The sequence below is a fragment of the Homo sapiens genome, chromosome 8 (genome assembly GCF_000001405.40).
Source record: "Homo sapiens chromosome 8, GRCh38.p14 Primary Assembly".
NCBI lineage: Eukaryota > Metazoa > Chordata > Mammalia > Primates > Hominidae > Homo > Homo sapiens.
Window position 1 is genome coordinate 47,815,087 of NC_000008.11, and position 12,818 is coordinate 47,827,904.

Consider the following 12,818-nt stretch of genomic DNA (forward strand, 5'->3'; position numbering starts at 1 on the left):
ACCTGGGAGGCTGAGACTGCAATGAGCCATTATCGGGTGACAGAGTAAGACCCTGTCTCAAAAAAAAGAAAAGTTCGAGAACTCATCCTGTCTGACTTCAAAACGTACTATAAAGTGATATAAATGAAGGCAGTTTGCTATTGTGAAAAAAACACAAAGCAAGGGCTACAATAGAGCATCCAGAAATAGACCCACACATATGTGGTCAATTGAGTTTCAAAAAAATTGCCAAGGTGACTCAATTATGAAAGACTTTTGAACAAATGCGGCTAGATAGATATCTATATGGAAAAAGTAAACACCTACCCCTACCTCACGCCATTTACAAAAATTTTCTTCCAGTGCATCAGAGACCTCAATGTAAGACCTAAAACCATAACATTTCTAAAAGAAAACAGTAGAAGACAGGTAAGATGAGCCTGATTTGTTAGCTTAAAGGGGAGCCTGTTGGCCAAATCTGAGATAATTGAACACAAAATAAATAAGGACAGTATAGGTTATATCCCACTAAATAAAATTTGAATCCCTGAGTCTTTATTGATAATCTTTAAAAAGTAAATAAGTAAGTAAACAGAAGGAAGGGTGCCTGCTTACAATAAGATGTAGACTAATATAAATGAATGGTAGAGTTGGAAATTATAATTTTGCAACCATTATTGTCAACACTGGTTTGGGCCAGGAGTCATCCACAAATGTGAAATACAGAGGGATAAGTCTTAGGAGAAGCAGGACATTTGTATGTCTCAAAGCAGCTCCTACATTTATTTGTTAGTTGCAAAAGAAAAGCAAAAAAATGGCATTATACAGTGGAGAGACCAAACAATCAAAATTATTATCACCAGGCTGGGCATGGTAAGTAATGCCTGTAATCCCATTACTTTGGGAGGCCAAGGCTCACTTGAGGATCACTTGAGGTCAGGAGTTCAAGACCAGCTTGGCCAACATGGTGAAACCCCATCTCTACTAAAAATACAAAATTTAGCCGGGCATGGTAGTGCGTGCCTGTAATCCCAGCTACTTGGGGGGTTGAGGCAGGAGAATCGCTTGAACCTGGGAGGCGGAGGTTGCAGTGAGCTGAGATTGTGCCACCGCACTCCAGCCTGGGCAAAAAGACTGCATCAAAAAAAAAAAAATTATCACCAGTAAAAGGCAGATGGACACTGTGCCCCACGTGTGATTTGCTAGCCTGAGAAGTATTCTGGCCAGAGACAGATCACCTGAGTCCCACCATGAGGAAACGTAAGACAAACCCAAACAGAGGAACATTCCTCAAAAGTGGCAGTATTAGGACACACAAAGCCTTTCAGGGGACTAAAAAGACACATCAGATAAATAGAGTCCATCATTCTGTACTGATCTTGTTGTAGAGGTAGAGAAAATGCCACAAAGGACATTACTGGGACAATTAACAAAACTGAAATTGGGCTGTAGAGGAAAAATGAAAGCACCAAGGTTCATCACTGAACAGTAGTTACATAAAGAAAAATTCTTTTTCTTAAGAAATGAACACTGATCTATAACGAGGCAAAGGTATGTATCCAGCTTACGCTCACAACCGGTTCAGAAAATAAATAATATGTAGGGTCTGGTAGAAAAGAAAAAAATACAAATACTAACATGGAAAAATGTTTAAAATGTTATTTAAAAAATCAGTGAATCTGGGTTAAAGAACCCAGGAGAGTACTACTTTTCTTGCAACTTTTCCACAAGAACTCATCTCAAAATAAAAAGTTTAAAAAAAAAAAAAAAGTAGTAGTGGAGGAAATAATGGGAGACCATGACACTTGGGGTCAGAGTCCTTAAGTCCTATTTCCTACACACATTTGTGTGCCATAAACCTCTCTGATTTTATTACATGGTTAGTACCTGCCCTATGGATTCCACAGGTTAGTTACAGGATGGAGAAGATGAGGACATGAACATGACCTGAGACCTGGGAAAGTGACACATGACTGTGTAATGGAGTTGGGAGGTAGGAGGCAAGAATGTCAAAAATCCTAGTTATAAAAAATAGGATAATAAAAATCATTATGTAGTCGTCTTCTTTGTTGTCATCTAACTACTTAACATTCCGTTGTGAGAGAAGCAAATGCACACTGACCCTGTCTCCCTTCCTGGAGGTGCAGGTTCAGGATCAGCCACCAGCACCTCCCGACAGCAGCGTCCCCACAGGGCAAGCGGGAAAGAGGACACTGCAGACACGGAGAGCTCTATCGGAACTACTTACATGGGAAACAGGAAGGATGGAAAACAGCTGTGCTAGGCTCAAATCCCACATTTCTCTAAACCATGGTTTGGAAGAAAAACCATTCCAACAATTTCAAAAAACAATCCACATTTGACTGAAAGGGACCACGTCTTACCGATTTGTGATGATGTCATCCCAGATGTTCATTGGGTCCATTTTAGCATCTGGATATCTGTTTGTCCAGGTGTTCAGAAGTCTCTTAAGGGGAACTTGAGATGATAAATTGCCTAAAAATAGTATTAGAGGGTGACTATACACACAGCTCAATTATAAGATCAAATGACAAAGGTCATTATCAGTAAATAGAAAATTCAAACTTCCTGCCCAAATTACAAAAAAGTCCTTTCTTTTACAAAAGGAACACAAAGTTACCATACTAAATTTAATATATTCTGACATTTAAACTCAATTGCTTAAGGACAGAGAATAAAGATGGAGAAATAAACATGCACAAATTCTTTTTACATTTATTACAGGTCTACAGTCCATCTGTAATATCAAAATCTAAAAAGCACTGATAACTAAAAAGATTTTCATGGGGTTGAAGCAAATTTTCTTGGCAAAAAAAATCTGATCTTCATTGGTATAGGGCTACTTAGTCTTTGTTTATGGCATCAATGTGAATATTCATAACTTAAGCTGTAGAGTTACAGAATACTGCCCTAGCCCCTGGCATGTACACAGGTAATATTTCTAGTGTCCAAAACATTCTGGCCTCAAAGGTCTCAGCAAAGAGATTCATAATAATCTTCACAAAACTGAAAATTCACATTGTTAATGTGTTTTTCTTTCTGTTGGGGGAAAACAGCAGTCAGGAACACAAGATTAGATGAGACAGTCCTGGGTTCAAAATTAAAATCTTTCACTTATTAGCTTAGGCAAGTCATTCAATCTCTATAAGCCTCTAAAAAATGAGGAGAAAAAAATCCATCTCATAAAGTTGTTATAAAGACTAGGTAATATTGGCCAGGCACGGTGGCTCATGCCTGTACCCCAGCACTTTGGGAGGCCGAGGCGGGCGGATCACGAGGTCAGGAGATCGAGACCATCCTGGCTAACATGGTGAAACCCCATCTCTACTAAAAATACAAAAAATTAGCCAGGCATGGTGGCGGGAGCCTATAGTCCCAGCTACTTGGGAGGCTGAGGCAGGAGAATGGCATGAACCCGGGAGGCAGAGCTTGCAGTGAGCCGAGATCCCGCCACTGCACTCCAGCCTGCGAAACAGAGTGAGACTCCGTCTCAAAAAAAAAAAAAAAAAAAAAAAAGACTAGGTAATATTGATAAAGAGATTAACATAGCTCCTGAAAGTAGAATGCACTTAATAAATGATACGTCATTAATATGATTAATATGTACTTGAAAAATAATTTTCCAAAATTAAAATAGAAAATAACTAGGTAGACATAAATATCAGTTTTTATCAGTATTCTGAAAGCATCTTTTGTAATTAATTTTAATTATTTAGGACAAAAATGAAATTCAGATTAACAAACAAAACATTTTACCTTTGCAAAGATGTACTCTTCCCCTTAGACTCTTGGGTGGCCTCCCATAGGCACTGGGATAAAACCCACTCATCAGCGATACAAAGGCCTTCCTGATGTGGGCCCTGCTGCCCGCAGCCTTCCTGCCCTCCCTTCAAGCCAGGGCACCCAGAGCCCTCAGCGTGCACCTCAGGGGCACCACAGCTTTCCGTCTGCAAGCCCCTGCCTCTTCCCCACTGCTCAGGACCCTCCTCCAGGAGTCCTGCACCCTCTCAGGCCAGGGTGGGCCCCACCATCCTTGTGGGCAGGTATCCTCTGGAGTCACCCCGCTACTCCAAAAGCTTCATTAAGGTAAGCAACATGTTTTCTTTCACTTTGCAGCCCTGATGCCTAGAACTCTGCCTGACCATTTTAAACATTTATTTCAATGATCTGAAAATAGGTATTTGTAGAGGAAATTCGATGGAGTTTCCAACCCATACATTAAGAAACATGCACTTTCACTAAGCAGAAAATAATTTAGATGCTAAAACTCTTCCACAATTAGAAATGAAAAAAAAAGACCGATGAAAAAAATTACCTTGTTTGCTTATAAAGCTGATGAACTCCTGAATTTCTGTTAAAGCCTGTACAGACTGCAATTTGGTGAGTCTACTTTGGTGTAAGAGGACATCAATACTAGAATAATTCTTAAAAAAAAAAAAAAAAAAAAAGGGCATTTACAAATGCCATGTTATAAATCAATCAAGCTGTGACTTTAAGTTTTTAACAGTACTCTAAATTATGAAATGTAGCAATTATTCTATAAATATGCCTCAGAATGGTTAATAATTAGATCACAGACAGTTAACAAATAGTTTAAATTTTAAAAAAAAATTTAAGGTTTCAATAACATTTTGGCTCAATGAAATCAATAAAACTGACATCACCAGGCTATCACTGCCTCGACTTGCCACCAAGTTTTAACAATCCTAACATCCTATAATGTAAAACTGCTGACTACAGAAGCCAATTCTTTTTTTGATAAACTTCCTCAAGAGTGCTAATCAACTTCAACACATTAAATAAAAATGAAAACAATGAATGAATATGCTTCTATGCTAAATGTCACTAACCTATACTAAATGTTATTAATAAACTTTATACAAGACATTCACTTACAAACAAACAACTGTCAGGAAAAGATTCGCAGAAAAGCAAAAAGGAAAGAAAGAGTGGCAGCAAACAATCAGGAAAGATCAACCCCTGCTCTTCTCTACAAAGCAACCAAACTTCCATTCCGCTACCCCAAATAGAAAAGTCTACTCTTGGTCAGGAGCGTTGGCTCACGTCTGTAATCCCAGCACTTTGGGAGACTGAGGCAGGTGAATCACCTGACGTCAGGAGTTCAAGACCAGCCTGGCCAACATGGTTAAACCTCGTCTCTACTAAAAATACTAAAATTAGCCGAGGGCCTGTAATCCCAGCTACCCGGGAGGCTGAGGCAGGAGAATCACTTGAACCAGATTGCGCCATTGCACTCCACTGTCTAGGCGACAAAAGAGAAACTTGGTCTCAAAAAACAAACAAACAAACAAAAAAACACCCTACTCTCAAGTGTTCTTTAAGAGTATGAGAAAGGTAACAAAAAGGAAAAAAAATGAAACCTTTCTAAAATAGAAAAAAAAGATTTAAAAAGGCATTAAGATAAAGGACAGAATGAACAGCATTATTGGAAGAACAGAAAGAAGGAAATAGGTGGTATGAAAATAGTACTTGAAAATTTTTGTTGATTTTTTTCATGAGTTTACTGAGTTTTAAAAATATCCTAAAAATAGTATATTTCAGATAGATCCACATTATAATATATATATACACTATATATATACAAGCATATATATATAATATATAGTATTACCTGCATAAAACTCTGAATGCCATTTTGAATGTAATATTTGGCTCTGTCAACATCATCTTGCAGGAGGTAAAGCAGACTCAGCTCTTGACTGTAATGAAGCTCTAGAATCGCCTTCTGGAGCTCCCCGTGCATAGCTTTGTCAATAAATGTCAGCAGGGACTGGTCAGCCTCTCCCTGGAGCAGCAGCTTCAGCTTGCTGCGGATCATGTAAGGTAGATATGTTTCCTAAGGAACATAAAAATATACTTGTAACTACAGAAGGCCAATTTGAGTATGTCTAATTATTTTATTTCTATTATATTCTTTGCTATACTTTCACAGGTCAAGATTTAAAGTCAAAGCGATGATGTTTGATGTCTGAAACAGTAAACCTCCAATTTTTAAAACAAATTCATCTAAAATAGCTTGTTTTGTAACCACAAAATATATAGGAACACGTTCTACAAAAAATGGGAACTACTTTTGGCTGGAAGATGATTTGGATGTTACGTACAAACTGAGGAATTTACAAGCACAGTCAGGATAGGTATGGTGTGGAGAAAAGCGGAGAGCCTCTTGTCACAGGAGCTGGGAGGCCTGTGTTTAGCCAGTGATCCGGGGCGACTTCTTGTAATATAAGAGACAACAGGAAATATGCTCCTATGTAGTCATACTAGGAATGTTAATATTTATTTTAAAATGCATTGCATTCACTTTGAAAAGATGATTAGCTAAAAGTGATAAGAGATTTAACAATACTATGGGGTTTGTAGGTGGACTCAGGTCATGCAATTCCCTAGTGCTTCACAAGTACTACCTGTTTTTGAAATGTTTTAAACAATTTTGTTAAGTAGAAAACACCTATCTAAAATAATTATTTCAATCACTTAAAATAATTTTACCCACCTGATAAAATGGTTCACTCCAGATTTTATTTAGGTCTGGGGGGTTCTCACTGTCTATACTGGCTGTAGAACAGTATTCAAGTGATTTCCACTCAGCAAGGTGGTTGTAACAGTCAAGGGATGCAAGTTCCCAAAAATCCTTCTCGGCTTCTGTGGGCTCACCATCTACCCAGTCTTGTTTATTGAGAGCCTAGTGGAGAAAAGTTAATAAAATTATTTTACAAAGTTGGAAAGAATACCAATGAGAACACGTAAAAAGGAGGAATGTAACAATCACACTAAAAACAATCCTTTTCAGATTTACGGAAAGGAGAGAGAAAAGAGAAGCTATTCAGAGTAACACTGAATGGAAGAAAAACCAAAAGGAATCCTACAGTACTAAATGAATAGAAAAACCCAGCTGGGCACGCTGGCTCACGCCTGTGATCCCACCACTGTGGGAGGCTAACGCACATGGATCACCTGAGCCCAGGAGTTTGAGACTAGCCTAGGCAACATGGCCTACAAAAAACGCAAAAACTCTCTACAAAAAACACAAAAACTAGCTAGGTACGATGGCAAGCACCTGCAGTCCCAGCTACTTGGGAGGCTGAGGTGAGAAGATCACTTGGGCCCAGGAGGTTGAGGCTGCAGTAAGCTGAGATTGTGTCACTGCACTGCAGCCTGGGTGACCCTGTTTTAAGAGAGAAAAAAAAAAAAAAGCCACAAAAATCCTAACTAGGAGGAAGCCATTTCTCTGAGAAACTTACCAATGAAACCAATTACTAAGACTGAAGACTTTCAATCACAATAACTTGATTTACATCTCTACTGGGGGTTATTTACCACGTAACAAGTTCTTAGAATAAAATTAGAATACAGGACATTTGTAGAAAATTGCAGAGGATTTTAAAACCTGGGCTGCTCGGCTGGGAGCGGTGGCTCAAGCCTGTAATCCCAGCACTTTGGGAGGCCGAGGCGGGCGGATCACAAGGTCAGGAGATCGAGACCATCCTGGCTAACACGGTGAAACCCCATCTCTACTAAAAATACAAAAAATTAGCCGGGCGTGGTGGCGGGCACCTGTAGTCCCAGCTACTCGGGAGGCTGAGGCAGGAGAATGGCGTGAACCCGGAAGGCAGAGCTTGCAGTGAGCCCAGATTGCGCCACTGCACTCCAGCGTGGGCGACAGAGTGAGACTCTCAAAAACAAACAAACAAACAAAACCTGGACTGCTCATTGAAGAGTCTCACAGGTCACAGACCCTGAATTTCAACACCTACACTTGAATAGCCACTGACGGAATGTACAAAACTGAACTTATATTCATCTTCCCAAATTCTTCTTTACCTCTGATGTAATTTGAATATGTGTCCCCACCTAAACCTCATGTTGAAATGTAATCCTCAATGTCAGAGGTGGGGCCTGGTGAGAGGTGTTTGGATCAATGGGGGGCAGATCCCTCATGAATGAAGTGGGCCATTCCCTTGGTGATGAGTGATCCTAGCACTTTGGGAGGCCCAGGCATGATGGCTTGAGCTCAGGAGTTCCCAACCAGCCTGGGCAACATAGTGACACCTCATCTCTACAAAAAAATTTCAAAAATTAGCCAGGCATGTTGGTGCATGCCTGAAGTCCCAGCTACTCAGGTGGCTGAGGTGGGAGGACCGCCGGAGCCTGGGAGCCATGATAGTGCCACTGCACTCCAGCCTGGGTGACAGAATGAGACTCTGCCTCTAAATAAATAAAAGTATATGGCACCCCCTCCCCAACTGTCTCTCTTTTGCTACTGCCTTTCACCATGTGAAATGCCTACTCCTGCTTCGCCTTCTACCAATGCATAAAAGCTTCCCAAGGCCTCCCCTGAAGCCAAGCAGAAGGCAGCACCATACTTCCTGTGCAGCCCGTGGAACCGTGAACCAATTAAACCTCTTTTCTTTATAAATTGCCCAGTGTCAGGTATTTCTCTACAGAAATGCAAGAACAGCCTAATACAATTTCTTTATAATTTTTTTTTTTAACTAACTGAAAGAAAACAACCTATTCAAACAGAAACTGTGTAAGAGCAGAGAAATAATATACAGTTTCATAGTATGGTAGGCCCTAACTTAAGTGAACAACCTATAAGGAAACCAATTTTCTTCCTCATCAACATTGTAACGAAAAGACATTGAACCAACAAGGATCTGCTGTACCTCGTTTTGCTTAAAGTCATAGTTCAGCAGAAAACAAAAGTGTTGAAGTAAATGTCATATTTTGCCAGAGATCAATTTTACCTCATCATACTGCTTAGCAGCTTCAGAATAATCACTTCTGGCTTCTGCTAATAATGCACTCTGAGTGATTTGCTTTGTTCCTATCTCACTGGTAAAAATCCCACGGAGGACGTCGTATTCTCCAATTGATCTATACAGCCTACAAAACAAATCAAAAAGGCCAAATCAATGAACACTCCAGTATTTTAAAAGTATTTATTCTAATGAAATGATAGTAAATCAAGTTGCCACACATTATATTAACAAGAGACATAAAGTGTTACTTTAATTTTGCTAAAAATATAAAATTTAAGAAACTATGAAGTTGCCCTTAGGTTTTATAACTTTAATCATACATAAGCCAGAAATTATTCAGATGTGCATTTAAAGTGGAATCTGGGACGGGCGTGGCGGCTCACCTGAGGTCAGGAGTTCAGATCAGCCTGGCCAACATGGTGAAACCCCGTCTCTACTAAAAATACAAAAAATTAGCTGGGCATGGTGGCGCATGCCTGTAGTCCCAGCTACTTGGGAGGCTGAGGCAGAGAACTGCTTGAACCCAGGAGGTGGAGGTTGCAGTGAACCAATCACCCTACTGCACTCCAGCCTGGGCAACAGCAAGACTCCGCCTCAAAAAAAAAAAAAAAAAAAAAAAAAGGTGGAATCTGAAAATATCAAAGGTTCACAGTGTATAAGATGTGTCATTACATAAGGTTCTCCAGTATTAATCCATTATAATATCTACAGGCGAACCATTTGGAATCCTTGTCTAGCTCCAAAAAACCCAGAAGCAAAAGAAAAAATAATCCTGACTACTGATGCCATGTTTAATCCATGTTCTATGGACCATCTCAATTTGTTGGAGCATTCATTCATCTCTTTACCTTAACAAAATTCTGGCTTGACCCTTTCAATCAAGCTTCCCAGTCCATGATATTCTCAAAGTGTTTATGGGGTTTGTTCCCTTCCTCCAGGAAATTTCTTTCCATCTTGCAGTCTCAACCCAAATGTTATTTCTTCCTAAACCAGCCAGCCAAGGACTGCTCCCTCCTTAGTTCTCCTGCTGTTCAGTTCCCTTCTGGGTACTAAGCCTCTTGCATTTACATCAAAAGAGCCCTACAGGTTCTCTCCTAGAGCTTATGAATTCTGAATTCAATAAAATCTAGTAGATGCAGCTCTCTTATTGCCCTGATTACAGAATGTTAGGGGTAATAAATCAGCAGTAAAGGTGGGTGGGTAGGTAGGTGATGGAGCAGCAGCTCATGGCCCCAGAGTCAGGGAAGAGGGAGAGCTACATTCTGCATAGACTCAGGAAAGAGATCACCTACATACCCCTATACTGGTTCCATTGTCCCTGGATTATGTTCACTATAACATGGTTAGAACAATGGCCATGACATATCAAAAAAAAGGCTAAGGCCGGGTGTGGTGGCTCATGGCTGCAATCCCAGCACTTTGGGAGGCCGGGGCGGGCGGATCCTGGCTAACACGGTGAAACCCCATCTCTACTAAAAATACAAAAATTAGCTGGGCGTGGTGGCAGGTGCCTGTAATCCCAGCTACTTGGGAGGCTGAGGCAGGAGAATCGCTTGAACCCGGGAGGTGGAGGTTGCAGTGAGCCAAGATTGTGCCACTGCACTCCAACTGGCGACAGAGCAAGACTGTCTCAAAAAAAAAAAAAAAAAAAAAAAAAAAAAGCTAAACTATGTTCACAATGCTCTGCAAGGAATGCAAAAATATCACAAAAGTATGAGAATGTACTTAATACAGTTAGAAAAAAATGTTTAAAGTTTAGGCCCTTAAAAGTTGTTTGCTTCACTTACTTAGCAAATACACATTATGTATGTTTACCACTCCTGGAAATAGTAAACATACAAGGTGTCACTTCCTGTTCACTTACACATCTGAAGCAACAGGAGAAAACGGTTCCTAGGTAAAATCAGCATAGCTCAGAGGCCCTCTCTGAATGGCCCTGGCATTTTATCTTGTCTCTCTCAGTGCTCACCACCTCCTACTTCAATTATGATTTATTTATGTGTAAAGTACATACATTTCCTACTAGATTGCTAGTTTTGTGAGTCTGTGATCAATGTCTAATCCAATTTCATGTCTCTTTGGTGCCTGGCACAGCACTTGTACACTCAGTGCTCAATCAGGACAGACATGAATTAACTACAAAACAGCACGAAGCACAAGGATCCCCTCCCTTACTTTTACTATCTTTTCTCTTAAAACCTAAAGCTCTAAAAATCTGCACTACAAAATGAAGTTCAAGTTAAATTTCAATCTTAACCTAACAACCTCCTCAGAATTAGGCTTTCATATGATGAGATCACAGAGAAGGGAAGAATCAGACATAATGGAAAATGGTATAACTAGAAAATGGAATCTGTTTATCCCAAATAAACTAACTGATTTAAACTCTTTCTAAAATCTTGAGTCCTGCTGAAAATACTAAATCTTCCTCCATTCAGTGTAGTGAAGCAGGAAATAACATAAAATATTAGGAACTATGATTCACAGCTACACTTTACAAGAAACTAAACTTGGTGAATAATACTGAGTCCAAAAAATCATATACTGAAAGAAATCAGCAGGTTTAAATAACGTTCTCTTTCCTTGAGCAAGACATTACTTGTTGTGGCAACTGTTCTTGCCTTTGAGAATGGTACTCAGCCTGAAAGACTTTTCTTTTAAATTTCACATTAGTGTTACTATCAACTTTATTAGCTCATTTTCTGCCAAATGAAGCCAAGTGTTTTCCGTATTGCTTTGGTCAAATCCAGTGTGCTCCCAAGAGCACCTGACCTCACACTTACTTAGCAAGCTCCACCCATCTGAGGACATCAGGAGGGAGGCGGGCCTTCCCACGGACTCGCTTGGCAGGCAGCTCAGCAGGCAGCAGGCGGAGCAGAGCCTCCTCTAGCAGGCGGATGCCCACGGGCTGCTGTAGGCTGGCCAGGCAACCAGCGCTAACAGCCGCTGGGTCGAGGCTCAGCAGGGCTGCGTGCTGACAGCTAATGTCCTGTGAAACCACACATACAACCAGCTGTTTAGCTTGTGGTACTTGGACCATGTCTTCACAAGGAGTAACATACTTTACTAAACATAAAAGGTACCCATGTGGGTAGTGATATCACCAGAAGTTTCTCTGTGTAATGCTATTAACACATTTTCCAACAATATTCAATTTGCTCAAAGGAGGAAATGACCTTTTAATTTTACGCTTCCATTCCAGGGATCAATTTAAAGCAAGAAAAGCACCTATCAAAATATGAAGATCACACACACACACACACACACACACACACACACACACACACACACACGTAAATTAGAAACCAATAAAAAACGGAGCTAATGTATAAAGAAATTTATACTGACAGTTTCTCGTTCCATCAAAAAGAATAAAACAAAAAACTAAGTATTTCATTTCAGAAAAGTATTAACCAATTCGTTTGTAAACCAATACTACCGATAAACAATATTGAAGAATATAAATTAGTAATTACTTCAGAAAAGGTCACTAGATACAAAAATACTAAAATGAATCAAAAAGATTTTCTACTAGGGAATTTTATATAATCCATACTTTGAATGGCACAGAAAACATTTCTTACATGAAAAATAATCTTCTGACAAACATATTTAAGTAGTAACTGAATATTAAATTAGATTTTCTGCTCAGGCTGTGTTGCCTTGGAAAGGACTTCTCTGACCACTGCATCTAGGCAAACACACCCTACCCCATCAAGAGGCACCTGCTTACCTGCTTCATTACTATCTTACACTGCTTTAACACTTCCCTATTACTCAAGTACTATGACACTTAACTACTACCTAATGTCCCTTTCTACATCTCCCTGTGGGTTGCCTATTACCCATCTATTAATGGGAATGTAAGGTCGGGAGGAAAGGAATTTTTGCCTCTTCATCAATGTGGCCCAGCCACCTAGAATAAAGCCAGGCGGGTACTCAGTCAACATCTTTTGACAGTAGTCAGGAAGCAGAAAGAATTTGGTGAAATACTACATAAGGAAAGACAACTAAATAAATGAAGGGTTTCAT

The 12,818-nt window shown here is 39.8% G+C and overlaps 1 protein-coding gene across 2 annotated transcripts in view, besides 3 other annotated features; it reads right to left on the minus strand.

Annotated features, from left to right (window-relative positions):
- Positions 1-12,818, minus strand: part of PRKDC (protein kinase, DNA-activated, catalytic subunit) — a 187,026-nt gene that overhangs the window by 41,976 nt on the left and 132,232 nt on the right. For both annotated transcript variants that reach the window (NM_001081640.2, NM_006904.7), the window contains exons 63-68: positions 11,570-11,775; positions 8,772-8,910; positions 6,518-6,706; positions 5,633-5,857; positions 4,316-4,424; positions 2,364-2,475 (exon numbers count right to left, since the gene is read on the minus strand). In NM_001081640.2, coding sequence (NP_001075109.1) covers positions 2,364-2,475; positions 4,316-4,424; positions 5,633-5,857; positions 6,518-6,706; positions 8,772-8,910; positions 11,570-11,775 — 980 coding nt within the window. The remainder of the gene's footprint in view (positions 1-2,363; positions 2,476-4,315; positions 4,425-5,632; positions 5,858-6,517; positions 6,707-8,771; positions 8,911-11,569; positions 11,776-12,818) is intronic.
- Positions 6,840-7,601: an enhancer, noted in NCBI's record as "H3K27ac-H3K4me1 hESC enhancer chr8:48734487-48735248 (GRCh37/hg19 assembly coordinates)". NCBI's record gives its function as "activates a minimal SCP1, AML or CMV promoter by ChIP-STARR-seq in primed H9 embryonic stem cells {active_cell/tissue: H9 hESC(primed)}" and the evidence as "EXISTENCE:reporter gene assay evidence [ECO:0000049][PMID:30033119]".
- Positions 10,196-10,696: an enhancer, noted in NCBI's record as "H3K4me1 hESC enhancer chr8:48737843-48738343 (GRCh37/hg19 assembly coordinates)". NCBI's record gives its function as "activates a minimal SCP1, AML or CMV promoter by ChIP-STARR-seq in naive H9 embryonic stem cells {active_cell/tissue: H9 hESC(naive)}" and the evidence as "EXISTENCE:reporter gene assay evidence [ECO:0000049][PMID:30033119]".
- Positions 11,482-11,776: an enhancer, noted in NCBI's record as "tiled region #7649; K562 Activating DNase unmatched - State 14:Gen5'". NCBI's record gives its function as "activates a minimal TATA promoter and a strong SV40 promoter by Sharpr-MPRA in K562 cells {active_cell/tissue: K562}" and the evidence as "EXISTENCE:reporter gene assay evidence [ECO:0000049][PMID:27701403]".